Source organism: Homo sapiens, chromosome 18 (assembly GCF_000001405.40).
Source record: "Homo sapiens chromosome 18, GRCh38.p14 Primary Assembly".
NCBI lineage: Eukaryota > Metazoa > Chordata > Mammalia > Primates > Hominidae > Homo > Homo sapiens.
In genome coordinates this window covers 52,627,782-52,644,814 of record NC_000018.10, presented here as the reverse complement: position 1 = coordinate 52,644,814, position 17,033 = coordinate 52,627,782, and the positions used below count along the sequence as shown (strand labels likewise).

The window sequence follows — 17,033 nt, the reverse complement described above, 5'->3', positions numbered from 1 at the left end:
TCCCTTCCTTCCTTCCTTCTTTCCTTCTTTCCTTCTTTCCTTTCTTCCTTCTCTCTTTCTCTCTTTCTTTCTTAAATGGGATCTCACTCTGTCACACAGTGGTACAATGATAGCTCACTGCAGCCTCAAACTCTTGGGCTCAAGTGATCCTCCCACCTCAGTCTCCCAACTAACTGGAATTATAGGCTGGAGCCACCACATCTGACTCTACACACTAATTTTTTTTTTTTTTTTTTGAGACGGAGTCTGACTCTGTCGCCCAGGCTGGAGTACGGTGGCGCAATCTCGGTTCACCGCAAGCTCCGCCTCCCAGGTTCATGCCATTCTCCTGCCTCAGCCTCCCTAGTAGCTGGGACTACAGGCTCCTGCCACCAGGCCCAGCTAATGTTTTGTATTTTTTAGTAGAGACGGGGTTTCACCGTGTTAGCCAGGATGGTCTCGATCTCCTGACCTCATGATCCACCCGCCTTGGCCTCCCAGAATGCTGGGATTACAGGCGTGAGCCATCACACCCAGCCTCTACACACTAACTTTTAATGGGCTTGACCACTTAACTAGTTCACTGCCTCTAACTGTACATTCAAGTTCCAGGAATTGATATTGATGCAGCCCAAGGGGGTCTGGTGATGCTCATCTGTTTTGGCTGTATAACACATTTTCCCCATACCACAGCCCAAACAGACACAGTAAATCCTAATAAATCCTTGAGCAAATGGCTTCCTGGGAAACACACAATACACTATGTCATTATGACTTAATTCCTTATATGGATTTCATATGGACTCCTTCCATCTTCACTCCTTTCCTCTGATATGATCAAAAAAGCATAGACTTTTGAAGAGGAAGAAAAAAAAAACCAAAATACTGTTCTTGACTATTAATTTCTTCTGCATTATTTTCTCTGTTTTGGCACAGCAAGGGCCAAAAGTTGTAAGGTACTCTATACTTGTCAGGACAAACAAGATGGAAATGTTGGTCATTTTATCCTGGCAAGGAGGGCTTCTTCTTCTCCTCTTTGCCTACAAGTTCTTGGCACTCATGACCCCATTTGTTTTTCTGCCTCCCTCTTGATGGGAGAGAGGGTAGGTAAATAATTTCCAAATGGTTAGATCCAGTTTCAACTTCACAAGGAGAAAATAGTGTGGAATGTGGGCCATGGCACAGACTGGTCCTTTCAATCCTATTTTCTTCTATCTCCAAATAACCAATCAGTTCCTAAGCAGTGGACATTCTTTCTGTAGGGGGATTGGGAGCTTGGGACCATAATTAGCTGATGAGTAGGATTTTAGAAAATATAGTTTCAGGAGGAAAGGAAAAATTTTAGAAGAGCAAAAATCATGTGGGCTGGTTTTAATGAGCATTGCGAAGGATGGCCAATTACCATCAACTTCATATTTCCCAAATATTCCCTAATTTCTTCAACCCATCTTTTCTCAAAGAACCAGGGAGAATGTAAGCATGGTATTTTCTGACTTAACCATGAAAATTTCCTTCTGATGGTCAGTGATGAAGCATCCCAGTACACCTGTGGAAACTAGGTCAACAGCTTGAAAATGTGGCAGGTAGAAAATCTTCTTGTCTGAACCTTCTGAACTTAAGCATTCAATCTTTCTTAAATTACAACCAAACACTGAGACTATGTCAAATGGTCTGGAGACATTGATTTTTCTCCCTTTTTTGAAGCTTTTTAACTATAGAACATTCTTCTTTTCTCTTGGCATTAAAGTTTCCTTCAGATATTTATAAAACACACTAATTTGAGAGGTTTGGATAGGTGGCCATTTTCAATTTCTGACTGAACAATCTAACTTTCCTCAAAGGAAAATAGTTTAAGGAAAGCTCTTCCTCAAAAATCTTATTAGGGCTAGGTGCAACGTCTCATGCCTGTAATCCCAGCACTTTGGGAGACCAAGGCTTGAGACCAGGAGTTCAAGACCAGACTGGGTAACATAGCAAGACCTCATCTCTACAAAATATTGAAAAACTAGCTGGGTGTGATGGCCCAAACCCATAGTCGCAACTAGGTGGGAGGCTGAGGTGGGATGATTGCCTCAACCCAGGAGATTAAGGTTGCAGTGAGCTATGATTGTGCCATTGCACTCCAGCCTGAGCAACAGAGTGAGACTTTATCTCTAAAAATAAAAATAAAAAAATTAAATTAAAATTGAAGATTTTTTTTTCATTTTCAAGTAAAAAAAAATATTAAGAACATCATGAGCAAAAAATATTTCCTGAGTGCCATATTTGTACACAGCATATTGTTTTTAGTTTTGGGGAAAAAATCTTAAGACAGCAATTGTCTTTGCCCAGAGCAAGTTTAATTTTTAAAAACAACATTTTTATTTCCATAGGTTATTGGGGAACAGGTGGTGTTTGGTTACATGAGTAAGTTCTTTACTGGTGATTTGTGAGATTTTGGTACACCCATCACCCGAGCAGTATACACTGCACCATATTTTTAGTCTTCTATCCCTTGCCCCCCTCCCACTCTTCCCCCGAATTCCCCAAAGCCCATTGCATCATTCTTATGCCTTTGCATCCTCACAGCCTAGCTCGCACATATGAGTGAGAACGTATGATGTTTGGTTTTCCATTTCTGAGTTACTTCACTTAAAATAATAGTCTCCAATCTCATCCAGGTCACCGCAAACGCTGTTAATTCATTCCTTTTTATGGCTGCATAGTATTCCATCGTATATGTGTGTATGTGTGTGTGAGTGTGTGTGTGTGTGTGTATATATATATATATATACACACACACACCACAGTATATATATATATATATATATATATATATATACACACACACACCACAGTTTCTTTATCCACTTGTTGATGGATGGGCATTTGGGTTGGTTCCATGATTTTGCAATTGTGAAGTATGCTGCTATAAACATGCATGTTTAAGTATCTTTTTCGAATCATGACTTCTTTTCCTCTAGGTAGATACCCAGTAGTGGGATTGCTGGATCAAATGGTAGTTCTACTTTTAGTTCTTTAAGGAACCTCCACACTGTTTTCCATGGCGGCTGTGCTAGTTTACATTCCCACCAGCAGTGTAGAAGTATTCCCGTTCACCACATCCACACCACCATCTACTGTTTTTTTTATTTTTTGATTATGGCCATTCTTGCAGGAATAAGGTGGTATTGCATTGTGGTTTTGATTTGCATTTCCCTGATCATTAGTGACAGTGAGCCTTTTTTTCATATGTTTGTTAGCCATTTATATATCTTCTTTTGAGAATTATCTATTCATGTCTTTAACCCACTTTTTGATGAGATTGTTTGTTTTTTTCTTACAGATTTGTTTGAGTTCATTGTAGATTCTGGATGTTAGTCCTTTGTCAGATGTATAGATAGTGAAGATTTTCTCCCACTCTGTGGATTGTCTGTTTACTCTGCTGATTGTTCCTTTTGCCGTGCAAAAACTCTTTAGTTTAATTAGGTCCCAGCTATTTATCTTTGTTTTTATTGAATTGCTTTTGGGTTCTTGGTTATGAAATCCTTGCCTAAGCTAATGTCTAGAAGGGGTTTTCCAATGTTGTCTTATAGAATTTTTAGTTTCAGGTCTTAGGTTTAAGTTCTTAATCCATCTTGAGTTGATTTTTATGTAAGGTGAGAGATGAGGATCCAGTTTTATTCTCCTACATGTGGCTAGCCAATTATCCCAGCACCATTTGTTGAAAAGGGCGTCCCTTCCCCACTTCATGTTTTTGTTTGCTTTGTCAAAGATCAGTTGGCTGTAAGTATTTGGTTCAATTTCTGGCTTTTCTATTCTGTTCCATTGGTCTATGTGCCTATTTTTATGCCAGTACCATGCTGTTTTGGTGACTATGGCCTTATTGTATAGTTTGAAATCAGGTAGTGTGATGTCTCCAGTTTTGTTCTTTTTGTTTAGTGTTGCTTTGGCTATGTGGGCTCTTTTTTGGTTCCATATGAATTTTAGAATTGTTTTTTCTAATTCTATGAAGAATGATGGTGGTATTTTGATGGGGATTATATTGAATTTGTAGATTCCTTTTGGCAGTATGGTCATTTTTCATAATATTGATTCTACCCATCCATGAACATTTGATGTGTTTCCATTTGTTTGTGTGATCTATGATTTATTTCAGCAGTATTTTGTAGTTTTCCTTGTAGAGGTCTTTCAACTCCTTGGTTAGGTATATTCCTAAGTTTTTTTTTTCTTTTTTTTGCAGCTATTGTAAAAAGGGTTGAGTTCTTGATTTGATTCTCCACTTGGTTGCTGTTGGTATATAGAAGAGCTACTAATTTGTGTACATTAATCTTACATCTGGAAACTTTGCTGAATTCTTTTATCAGTTCTAAGAGCTTTCTGGAGGAGGTCTTAGGGTTTTCAATTTAAACAATCGTATCATCAGCAAACAGTGACAGTTCAACTTCCTCTTTACCAATTTGGATGCCCTTCATTTCTTTCTCTTGTCTGATTGTTCTGGCTAGGAATTCCAATACTATGTTGAAGAGGGGTCATGAGAGTGGGTATCCTTGTCTTGTTCCAGTTCTCAGAGGGAATGCTTTCAACTTTTCCCAATTCAGTATTATGTTGGCTGGGAGTTTGTCATTGATGGCTTTTATTACATTAAGATATGTCCCTTGTATGCCAATTTTGCTGAGAGTTTAATCATAAGGCAATGCTGGATTTTGTCAAATGCTTTTTCTGCATCTATTGAAATGATCATGTGATTTTTGTTTTTAATTCTGTTTATGAGGTGTATCACATGGACTTGTGTATGTTAAACCATCCCTGCATCCCTGGTATGAAACCCACTTTATCATGGTGGAATATCTTCTTGATATGTTGTTGGATTCAGTTAGCAAGTATTTTGTCAAGGATTTTAGCATCTATGTGCATCAAGGATATCAGTCTGTAGTTTTCTTTTTTGGTTACGCCCTTTCCTGGTTTTGGTATTAGGGTGATGCTGGCTTCATAGAATGAATTAGGGAGGGTTTCTTCTTTCTCTATCTTGTGGAATAGTGTCACAAGAATAGGTACCAATTCTTCTTTGAACGTCTCGTAGGATTCTGGTGTGAATCCATCTGGTCCTGAACTTTTTTTTCATGGTAATTTTTAAATTATAATTTCAGTCTTGCTGCTCGTTATTGATCTGTTCAGTCTTGCTGTTGTTATTGGTCTGTTCAGTCTCACTGCTTGTTATTGCTCTGTTCAGGGTATCTAATTCTTCCTGGTTTAAGCTAGGAGGGTTATATTTTTCCAGGAATTTATCCATCTCTTTTAGGTTTTCTAGTTTATGTGCATAAAGGTGTTCATAGTAGCCTTGAATGATCTCTTGTATTTCAGTGCTGTCAGTTGTAATATCTCCTGTTTTATTTCTCAGTGAGGTTATTTGGATTTTGTCTCTTTTTTTCTTGGTTAGTCTTGCCAACGGTCTATCAGTTTTACTTACTTTTCAAGGAACCAGCTTTTTGTTTCATTTATTTTTTGTTTGTTTGTTTGTTTCAATTTCATTTAAATCTGCTCTGATCTTGGTTATTTCCTCTCTTCTGCTTGATTTGGGTTGGATTTGTTCTTGTTCTTCTAGCTCCTTGAGGTGTGACCTTAGATTGTCTGTTTGTGCTCTTTCAGTCTTTCTGATGTAGGTATTTAGGGCTATGGAATTTCCTCTTAGCATCGCCTTTGCTGTATCACAGAGATTTTGGTAGGTTGTGTCATTACTGTCATTCAGTTCAAAGAATTTTTAAATTTCCATCTTGATTTTGTTTTTGACCCAATGCTCATTCAGGAGCAGATTATTTAATTTCCATGTATATGCATGGTTTTGAAGGTTCCTTTTGGAGTTGATTTTCAGTTTTATTCCACTGTGGTCTGAGAGAGAATGGCCTGTCATATGGTCTATCTTGGAGAAAGTTCCATGCATTGTTAAATAGAACGTGTATTCTGTGGTTCTTGGATGAATGTTCTGTATACATCTGTTAAGTTCATTTGTTCCAAGGTATAGTTTAAATCCATTGTTTCTTTGTTCACTTTTTGTCTTGATGACCTGTCTAGTGCAGTTGGTGGAGTATTGAAGTCCCTGACTATTACTGTGTTGCTGTCTATCTCATTTCTATCTCATTTCTGTCTATCTCATTACTAAAACAATTAGTAATTGTTTTATAAATGTGGGAGCTCCAGTGTGTTAGGTGCATATATGTTTAGAATTGTGAAATTTTCCTGTTGGACAAGGCCTTTTACCATTATATAATGTCCCTCGTTGTCTCTTTTAACTGCTGTTGCTTTAAAGTTTGTTTTGTCTGATATAAAAATAGCTCGCTTTTGGTGTTCATTTGCACAAAATGCCTTTTCCATCCCTTTAAGTTTATGTGAGTCCTTATGTGCTAGGTGAGTTTCCTGAAGGCAGCAAATGGTTAGTTTGTGAGTTCTTATCCATTCTGTGGTTCTGTATCTTTTAAGTGGAGCATTTAAGCCATTTACATTCAATGTTACTATTGAAATGTGAGGTACCATTGCATTCATCATGCTCTTTGTTGCCTGTGTGCTTTGTTTTTTTTTGTTTTTTGTTTTTGCTTTTTAACTGGTATTTTTGTTTTATAGGTCCTGTGTGATTTATGCTTTAAAGAGGTTCTGTTTGGATGTGTTTCCAGGATTTGTTTCAAGATTTAGAGCTCCTTTTAGCAGTTCTTGTAGTGGTGGCTTGGTAATGGCAAATTCTCCCAGCATTTGTTTGTCTGAAAAAGACTGTATCTTTCCTTCATATATGATGCTTAGTTTCATTGTATACAAAATGTTTGCCTGATAATTGTTTTGTTTGAGGAGGCTGAAGATAGGGCCCCAATCCCTTCCAGCTTGTAGGGTTTCTGCTGAGAAATCTGCTGTTAATATGATAGGTTTTCCTTTATAGGTTACCTGGTGCTTCTGTCTCACAGCTCTTAAGATTCTTTCCTTCATCTTAACTTTGGATAACCCAATGACAATGTGCCTAGGCAAAGATCTTTTTGCTATGAATTTCTCGGGTGTTCTTTGTGCTTCTTGTATTTAAATGTCTAGGTTTCTAGCAAGGCTGGGGAAGTTTTCCTCTATTATTCCCCCAAATATGTTTTCCAAGCTTTTAGAATTCTCTTCTTCCTCAGGAACACAGATTATTCTTAGTTTGGGTTGTTTCACGTAATCCCAGACGTCTTGGAGGCTTTGTTCATATTTTCTTACTCTTTTTTCTTTGCCTTTGTTGGATTGGGCTAATTCGAAGATCGTGTCTTTGAGCTCTGAATTTCTTTGTTCTACTTGTACAATTCTATTGCTGAGACTTTCCAGAGCATTTCACATTTCCAAAAGCGCCTCCAAAGTTTCCTAAATTCTTTATTTTTTTTTCTTTAGGCTATCTATTTCCTTGAATATTTCTCCCTTCACTTCTGGTATCATATTTTGGATTTCCTTGCATTTGGCTTTGTCTTTCTCTAGTCCCTCCCTGATTAGCTTAATAACTAACCTCTTGAATTCTCTGTCAATCAGGAATTTCTTCTTGGTTTGGATCCATTGCTGGTGAACTAGTGTGATTTTTTGGTGGTGTAGAAGAGCCTTGTTTTGTCATATTACCAGGGTTGGGTTTCTGGTTCCTTTTGATTTGGGTATGCTCTGTCAGAGGGAAGGTCTAGGGCTGAAGTCTGTTGTTCAGATTCTTTTGTCCCATGGGGTGTTCCTTTGATGTATTACTTTCCCCCTTTTCCTATGGATGTGGCTTCCTGTGAGCCAAAATGTAGTGATTGCTCTCTCTCTTCTGGGTCTAGCCACCCAACAAATCTACCTGGCTCCAGGCTGGTACTGGGGGTTGTCTGCACAGAGTCCTGTGATGTGAACCGTCTATGGGTCTCTCAGCCATGGAACCAGTGCCTGTTCCGGTGGAGGTGGCGGGGGTGCAGGACTCAGTGAGAGTTCTTAGCTTTGGTGGTTTAATGCTCTATTTTTGTGTTGGTTGGCCTCCTGCCAGGAGGTGGCGCTTTCCAGAAAGAATCAGCTGTAAGTAGCATGGAGAGGGACCAGTGGTTGGGCGGGGCCCTAGAACTCCCAAGATTATATGCCCTTTGTCTTCCGCTATCAGGGTGGATAGGGAAGGATCATCAGGTGGGGGTGAGTCTAGGCGTGTCTGAGTTCAGACTCTCTGGGGTGGGTCTTGCTGCTGTGGGAGATGGGAGTTGTATACTGGAGTTGTATACCTAGGAGGATTATGCAGCTGCTTTTGCTGAGTCATGCAGGTTGTCAGGGAAGTGGGGGAAAGCTGGCAGTCATAGGCCTCACCCAGCTCTGGACGCAAACCAAAGGGCTGGTCTCACTTCCACTGTGTCTGCCCCAACAGCCCCCAGACCTTTCCCAGGCAGAGAGCAATATGGGCTTGAAAACCTGCCCCAGGCTATCCGCCTCCCAGCTGCTAAAGTAAAGGGCTTGGTTTTCCCCTGCCTGTGGAGTCTGTATCCCCAATTCGTGCCCTCCCCCAAGTTCTGTCCAGGAGGCTTCTCACCCCGTTCAAATTTTTACAAAGTTCATCTAGAGATTTGCTTCTCCCCGTGTAGTTTTAGCCCCTGGTCCTCTCTCGTTGGATCCCTGTGGTGCCAAGCAGGAATGGCCTGCTCCAGAACCCAGCGGGCTCCCAGGGCCTTGCTGCTGCTTCCTCTACCTCTGTATTTCCCTTGGCTCTCCTAATTGACTCAGCTCCAGGTAAAGTCAGAAATTTCTCAGGCAAACAGAACTTCAGCTTCTCCAGTTAGGGGGGTGTGTTCAGGAGAGGAGGGTCTCCTTTTCCCGCTTCCGCAGTTGGGGCGCTCACAGTATTTGCGGTGTCTCCCAGGTCCTGCAGGAGCAGTCCACTTCCGTCAGAGGGTCTGTGTGTCCTCTTGGGATTGTTAGTTTGCTCTTGTAGTCAATCTGGAGCTAAAATTCACAATGCGAGCCGCTGCCGGCTGCTCTGTCTAGAGGTGCATTCTAGTCCTGGCTCCCGTTCACGGTGATTGACTTTTTTGGGGGGAGTTTAATTCTAGTTATGAATTAGTGCATGAAACATGAAAGCAACAAGGTCAAGGTCTTATTGATTTTTCATAGTCAGAATGGAACGTGAGTCAGGAAGGAGGATTTATGTAGAAATATTGAAGAAAAGTTTGCACTAGCTGTGCAGCTCTGAATGGAATGAAATAAAGACTCGATTCTTATGTTCTATGGAATATGGATAACTGAATTTATAAGTGTAATAGCCATTAGCCTTATAAATTGTCATTATCCTGATAAATGTATTAAGTCTCTGCTTTAAAAAAATACGTTTTTCCTTCTAATTTAAATAATATAATTTCATGTAATTCAAATAATATATAATCAGTTTTTTAATACTATGTAATACAGTAGGTGTATTTTATTTTCCTGACTATTCAAATATGATGCCTTTGGGTTTATATTTCTAAAAGGTAAATTGAGCATTTATTTCAGTCACTTGTTGCCTAGCACAGTGTTGCGTAGGGCAAAGGTTGTTCATTTTTTTAGTAGCAGTGAGAAAGAATTGCCCTGCATCAAAGGACTGTTGTGAAGCTATGGAAAGCAATATTTGCAGAGATTTTTGAGTTTCTTGGAGAGAGGTGTTATCTGAATCAAAACCTGTGAAAAGAAGAATAGCTATAACATTTCCTGACAATGATAAACTACTGTGTTGTAAAATAGTTTCTAAAGGGAAGAGTGCCCTAGACATTATTTGTCAAATTTGGAAGAACAAGACAAATCAAGGTTCTAGAAACCACTGGAAATAATATAATCTCCAGTAGGGTAGAGAAAATAATTTACTACTAATTTTCATGACCCTATCTTATAAGAATAGAAGAGTGATACTAAGAGACACTTAATAGAGCTAAATCTTACACTTCAGTGGAGAACTGAATTATTGGAGTAGTTTCCAGCCAAGATAGATAATTTTACTATGGTATAGTTTCCCTATACTAGGGATTTAAGAAGAAAGAGTTATACAAAGTTCAAAGGCCCAGGACCTCTGCACCTCAGAGATGGACAGAAACAGAAGGGGGAAAAAGAGTGAGAAAGTATGATTTAGCAGATCAAGATACCAAAGAAATACGACACAGAGAAATGAAATAAGTCTTATGGGTCTCTACCACTAAGTTATACTGTTAAATAAAACCAATCAGTAAAATCTGTAATAATGATTGTCATTAGAATTCTGAAATTAGGCATTCAGTATTTAAGGAAACACCAATGTATTTAATAATTCACTTTTTCCACACTTGCTGTGTACTTTTATAAGTTATTTTTCTCGTATACATGCTAATATTTTTCCACAATTTAAATGACAATAGATCATTCCCACTTCCCCATGATATGATGTATGCTCCCCAGGATTATTTTTTTCCTAATACTTTTTAAACCAGAATAATTAATGTGATACTACTTTGGTAATGAATTTACAAAAATTCCATACAAATACTACATGTGCTAATACAATGAAATACCATAGAAATAATATGCATAATGCATTAGGTTTTGTTACAGATGCCTGCCAAAAATAATGTTTGGCAAACAGTAGCATGCTTAAAAAGTGCCTAACCGATTAAAATTTATTACTGCTGATAGACCCAGGGCAAACACTGAACAATCTATGCTATTCATGCCTTGGCAGACACATCAGTTCACTGACTGCTCAGATTATCTCTGAAAGCTTCTGGACATCACTGAAATTGAGGAAGTCACTTAATGAGATGTTTAATGCTGAAGAGAGTGACTCCTCCCAACAAAGATATCCTCCATATACTCCTATTGCATCTCCCTGAATGTCATGTCTGGCAAAGGAGTGCTACGCCATCCACCTGCCATGAGCAGGGTTGCTGTGTGTCCCTCCATAGCTCAGTCTGTCCTTTCACAGACAATTCCTCCTGAGAATCAGGGGCTGTGCTAGCGTTACAGCACTCTCTTATCTCTCTCCTGTTCTCAGTTTGGTGTTACCTAGTGCCTTATATGTTTTCAGTGTCATTGACTTATTGTTTTATGCTTATACCTTCTAACATATCTGGCACTCCTGTCTCTGTTACAGTGTTTGGAGGAGAGTCAGAGGCTATTCCATTCTCAGGAGTCATGTGGGAAAACAGCCAAACTCTAGGTTGGGCTAAACCTAGACTTCTTCTTTAGAAACTACAATTTGACAGTGAAACCACTGAATATTGTTGCAAATTGAGGTTCATTTGATTTTTTAAAAATCAAAAGTTCATCAATTTTCTTGGAATCTTTGGCATTGTGGGGTCTTTGAATTAATTTAATTTAGCCTCCATCATTGTATAGATGGGCAGAATTAAAGTGCATAAAGGGGAATTGATTTGACTGAGGCTACACAACTAATTAGGGCAGAGGTAAGGTGACAACTCCTTATTTTCAGCCCAGGATCTGCCAACAATGGCACTGGCTTTCCTCCAGAAAGAAATAAAAAGAAGAACTTGGGCATCTTCAGTGCCAGCGTACCTCCTACTGCCACAACCAGCCCTCTTGCCAATTGTTGCTGGTTATTCCTGCAAAGGACCAGAAGAGAAAATCATCTAGATTTTGAGGATAAACAGAATGAATGGATCCTGCTGATGAGCCCCAAATAAGATAAGCTCTCAAAATGTGTTTAGATAGACAGACCTTCAATTGAAGGACAGGACAGGACAGGACAGGACAGGACAGGACAGGACAGGAAAGGAAAGGAAGAAAGAGAAAGAATGAACAAACTGAGGATGACATGAAATTTTAGGTCTTTATGTCCAGAATGCTTTTCATTGATTTATTTATTTATTTTTACTGACAGAAAGGTTACTAATTTCTAATTATTTGAAAAATTAAAATTATCCCTGGGGAACAGCCTGGTCAGAAATAAAGAAAACTCCACAGTTTGCAAACCGTTCCTGAAAGTGAAATTGAAATTCATCTCAGTTAAACTTTAGAAATGAAAAGGGCAATAGAAAGCATTAAGTTTAGCAGGGATGCAAGGAGAAGTGCAATCAATCAGATGCTTTTAGAAATATAAACAACCTAGTAAAGAAGATCAAGCAATCTATAAAAATAAGCAGAAAACAGTTATAAGGATCATTAGCAGAAGAACAAATAGGAGCGTGAAACCACAGGAATGCTCATGATCAGAATGCAGAAATTTGAAGTCATGAGAAGGCAGGATATATCCATTAAGAAGGATAACAGGAGAAAAGAGCAACCAAGAATGAAATGACTAGTGAGTCCAGTTTTAGTTGACCTTAAATTTACTCAGCTACCTGCGTGGAACAGGAATTTTGACTTTGAATTGTTGGATGTCAAGGTGTTTCCCAAATGGCAAAACAGAAATTTTGCTGGTATCCCAGTGGGGACCAGATTCTCTCTGGTGCTTTATTACGCATGCAAGTCAAATTTCACTAAATTATCCAGTGGGCTATGTACATGTTGAACATTGGGATCATTTATTCAACAGATTTTTTAATTGCTTACTATGTGCCAAGTATTGTGTTAACAACTGAGGATAGAACAATGAGCAAAAATTGACATAGTCCCTATTTCCTTGGAACTTACGCTGTAGTTGAAGAAATAGGAATGAATTATTCATTATTATACTTCATTCCTAACTCATTCATTCATAATATTTATGAATATTTACTTACCAATTGAGTAATTTATTCTCAAAGGAACAGAGCTCTAGAACAAGGATTGATAATTGCTAGCAGAAACTAGGAATTTGGGGAAGTTCTCTGAAGGAATGATGCTGAAGTTGACATCAGAAAGATGAATGGGAGTCACTTGGAAGAGGTTGTGAAGGAGATTTTTCCAGGGGAAATTGTACATGCGAAGGCTTTGGATTGGAGAGAAAGACTCTGGAAGGAGACAGGGCCTAATCAGAGCTGGAGCAGAGGCTGTTTTTCTTTACCTTAATGCCACTGTCACAAGACTGCGCTTTCCAAAGTGGGATAATTTAGGACAATTTAAGAAGCCTCTAAAATGAACTCGACCTCCTTGAGTCCTTGAGTCCTTCATTTGGCCAATCAATATAGTCAGACATTTTCCCAATTGAGGTGAGAAGATCAGCAAATTTCAAAGCATAAATTAATTTGCATTGAGTTAAAAAACAAGTCAACCACCCTACCTCTTTTCCAGACCAATGCGACAAAATTTGTAAAACCTGGCCTGAGACTGAAAGCCACAGCACAGACAAGCCCAGCACACCAAGCTCCAGGGAAGCCTTCCGATTCCGAGGAAGACATCAAACTGAGATTGGGAAAATGGGTAGGCCCAAAATAAGATTAGCATTTTCCCCCCAGTTAAGATTCTTTAAATTAGCAAGGCTGGGTGAAGAAAAGGACAGTACCTTACTAGAGTATAAATTAGTTGGAAGCTAAGAAAGAACCACTGGCAGTGCAAGGTGATGCGTTTTCCTAGAAACTATCAATTTTGGAGACCTCCTATTGAAATATCCCATTTTATTTCCATTTACTCATGCATCTTTCCTCTAAGCTTTTTCTGTTTTTTATTTTTTTTTCTTTCTCTCTCTTTTTATTAGTCAAGCCTGCGGCTATCATGTTGGCATGGGGAATGTTTAACATAAACATGCAATTAAATAACAACTACACATTAGCAACCATAAATGACAGGTAGAAAAAAGTGTCCCAAACATGAATGGATTTATTTTTAAAGGATTTTATTAGAAAAAGTATAATGCTCACTTGCTCCCCTCCGGCCAAAACTTGTGTAGAAAAGTAGGCCTCCGAATAGGTGCTGATGGCTGATGACCTAAGATGCTAGAGGTGCCAGGAGAAAAGTTTTGCTGTGAGAGTCTATTCCCCAGGGTGCAGCACTGGGATTGATTGAAAATGGACAGCTAGCCATGGCATACTAAGGGCATAGTACTCGAGGTGTGTATTTCTAGAATATTGGTAAGAGGATTCCTCTCAAAGGGCACCTGGAACACTACATAAACAACAGCTTTTTAAAGTCATGTGTGGATGACTTGCTGTGTACAAGGTAGTAGGCCCACATGAATCAAAGGAGTAATGTTTAAGTGTAACCTCTTGCAATATCATCATCTTCTGATCCAAGTCTTAGCTTCTCATTGCTTCTTTCTAGAGATATGATAAGAATTAACTAAGCAGGTGAAAGTGCAAGTGTTCTGCAAGATTTGTAAAAAAAAAAAAATCTCACCGTCATAAAGGTCTGTCCAGAAGCTAGTAAACATCACCTTTGTTTGGGCTAAGCAGCTTTGCATGGGACTTCATTTCTTGGATTTCTGGCATTTACCATGTATCTTACTATGTGCCAGGCACTATGCTTCTTAAATTTATAAGCATTATCTTAACTAAAATTCCTATCAATACTATTGTTATTCCTACTTACGAATAAGGAAACAGACACTCAGTAAAATGAAGTCAGATGCTTAAGATAGCATAGCTCAGAATCTAATTAAAAAGACTGAGCTTTTTCTTCATAATACCTCACATTTAGATCATTCAGGCTGTAAGGAATTCGATCCCCAGAATTCATAGCCCTTCTCTGTCTCACTGTGTAAGCATTTTATAGGATGAACCCCTGGAGTTCCCAAACACTCACTATATATCTTCTTTCAATCACGACTGACACATTTCTAACAGATTTCTAAAGGTATATTTGGATAGGAATGTTGTTTTTATTCTTGCAAAGGTTTTATTAAAGTATCCTTTCTTACTTTTTTTCTTTTAGATGGAGTCTTGCTCTGTTGCCCAGGCTGGAGTGCAGTGGCATGATCTCAGCTCAACCTCTACTTCCTGGGTTCTCCTGCCTCAACCTCCTGAGTAGCTGGGATTATAGGTGCCTGCCACCATGTCTGGCTAATTTTTTTTTTTTTTTTTTTTTTTTTTTGAGACGGAGTCTTGCTCTGTCGCCCAGGCTGGAGTGCAGTGGCGCCATCTCCGCTCACTGCAAGCTCCGCCTCCCGGTTTCACGCCATTCTCCTGCCTCAGCCTCCCGAGCAGCTGGGACTACAGGTACCCGCCAGCACGCCCAGCTAATTTTTTGTGTTTTTAGTAGAGACGGGGTTTCACTGTGTTAGTCAGGATGGTCTCGATCGCCTGACCTCGTGATCTGCCCGCCTCGGCCTCCCAAAGTGCTGGGATTACAGGCGTGAGCCACCGCGCCCGGACTAATTTTTGTATTTTTATTAGAGACAGGGTTTCACCATATTGGGCAGGCTGGTCTCAAACTCCTGACCTCAGGTGATCTACCCGCTTCAGCCTCCCAAAGTTCTAGGCTTATAAGCATGAGCCACCATGCTCGGCCCTCTCTTACTTGTTAAATTAGAAATATTTTACATGTGGTCTCCTCTCACAACACTTGCTAGTTGCTCCCCCTAATCCACCCTCCAGTATCTGAGTAAGGTTCTAACTAACTAAGACTTAGTAATGCCCACATTTCCATAGGGATCTAGTCATTGTTTTCTCAGCTTAAAAAATGAAAAAATACCAGCAGCAGTGTCAGAAACTTGTTTGGCCAAACCAAAAGAGGTGGAGGTGGGTGGGTAGAAGTTTTTGTCTTTTGTAATAAAGAATTATGCAACAGATATAAAGTTCATCATTATAAGAAAAGAGCCAGAAGAAAATAAAAACACTGAACCTAACATACGGATGGGCAAATGGTAGATTATTTATTGCTCTTCCGTGAGATTCTTGAAAAGCCTGATTAATTCAAATTTCTTCCAGTTCTTGAAAAGACAGAATAATTTTGAAAGTGAGTAGACATTCCCCTAGATCTCCTCTGTCTCATAGTAATATCCTCACGGCTGCACCAATTTAAATCTACTATTTCAGCCATGCACCGCTAAGAAAATGGCTTCAGAGAGTGTAACAAATCCTTTCCCAGCATTTGGGTGGTCAAAGATTGCCGGTGTGTCATCATTGGTACACAACAAGCACCTGGCAACAAGTTTGCACAGATGCCCAACTTAGGTTAATGTTAATAACACTTGCAGCTTCAGGGACGTGATGTGGTGAAGTGACTCTGAATCTGAGACAGAAGTTCTAGCTCAGGCCAGCTCTTCCAAAGAATAACACCAGCAGGAGTCCATTATACACTAGGGTTGCCTCCCTACTCATGCTGCTACCTGCAAAACTGCCAGGACACTTCCTTTCCTTGCAGGCCTCTGTTCTCCCAGGGCTCTGGAGCTTCCATTTATGAATTGGAGGTAGGGGTGTGGGTAGGGAGTGGTTATAACTTGGAAGAAAGCCACATTCACTGCCTATAATTGACCTACAAGCCCAGAGTTATTAACAGAAATCTGTGGAATTAAATGACTGGATGAATGGCTGTACACACAGATGAAGGCAAGTTTGTAACAGGCACATATTTGCAGCCAGCTGCCAAGTTTATTGAAAAACAAATACTATATATCAGAATATACCCAGGAAAGCAATGACATGTTTAAAATAACACTTTGCATACAGTGAAAGACACATTGGATGCTAAGTCTCTTGGATGTGAGTGGTTTGCAGAATCTTTTCTTGACAATGGTCATAATTATGTTTGAAAATTTAATCATAACAGAATGTTTCCAAGTATGATAAATTTTCTATGAGAAAAAGGCAAACAGTTTTGAAGATTCTGCTCTTTGATGAAAAAAAAGTCTTTCAAGGTCATGAAATGCTCTAATTTAGGAAAAATTCACAGCAAAAGGGAAGATGTGAACCATTTTCACAGTTGATGCCATCTCAAATGTGGAAATAGAGAATGAGAATTGGAAAGGGTAAAGGAAAATACTTTTTCCCAGAAAGTCATAAAAGCACATCAAATACTTTACAAGGCAGAGTCATCAAATTTTACAGAACCTCAGAGTTTTCTGAAAGAAAAAGAGAGGGCTAGAAAGAATCATGAACATACAGGACACCAGGAAGGCCACCAAAATGTGGGGAAAAGCAGGAAGTGACATTGCAGACACTCTCCAGTCAAAATGAAACTAGAGAGAGAGAGAAAGAGCATTATGTGGAATGGTAACACCAAGCAAATGACCAGGTACACTTCCAAACTCTGGCTCACAA

General features: G+C 39.3%; 1 protein-coding gene across 4 annotated transcripts in view, besides 2 other annotated features; it reads right to left on the bottom strand.

The window, feature by feature from the left end:
• DCC (DCC netrin 1 receptor) overlaps positions 1-17,033 on the bottom strand; it is a 1,195,703-nt gene that overhangs the window by 891,085 nt on the left and 287,585 nt on the right. The gene's annotated exons all lie outside the window — the stretch shown is intronic.
• Positions 192-361: an enhancer, noted in NCBI's record as "experimental_47967 CRE fragment used in MPRA reporter constructs". NCBI's record gives its function as "activates a minimal promoter by MPRAs in K562 erythroleukemia cells, with activity observed for both the introgressed and non-introgressed 18:50170909 variant alleles {active_cell/tissue: K562}" and the evidence as "EXISTENCE:reporter gene assay evidence [ECO:0000049][PMID:34662402]".
• Positions 7,694-8,893: an enhancer, noted in NCBI's record as "MED14-independent group 3 enhancer chr18:50162292-50163491 (GRCh37/hg19 assembly coordinates)". NCBI's record gives its function as "activates an origin of replication core promoter dependent on BRD2, BRD4, P300/CBP and CDK7 cofactors, and independent of MED14, by STARR-seq in HCT116 cells {active_cell/tissue: HCT116}" and the evidence as "EXISTENCE:reporter gene assay evidence [ECO:0000049][PMID:35650434]".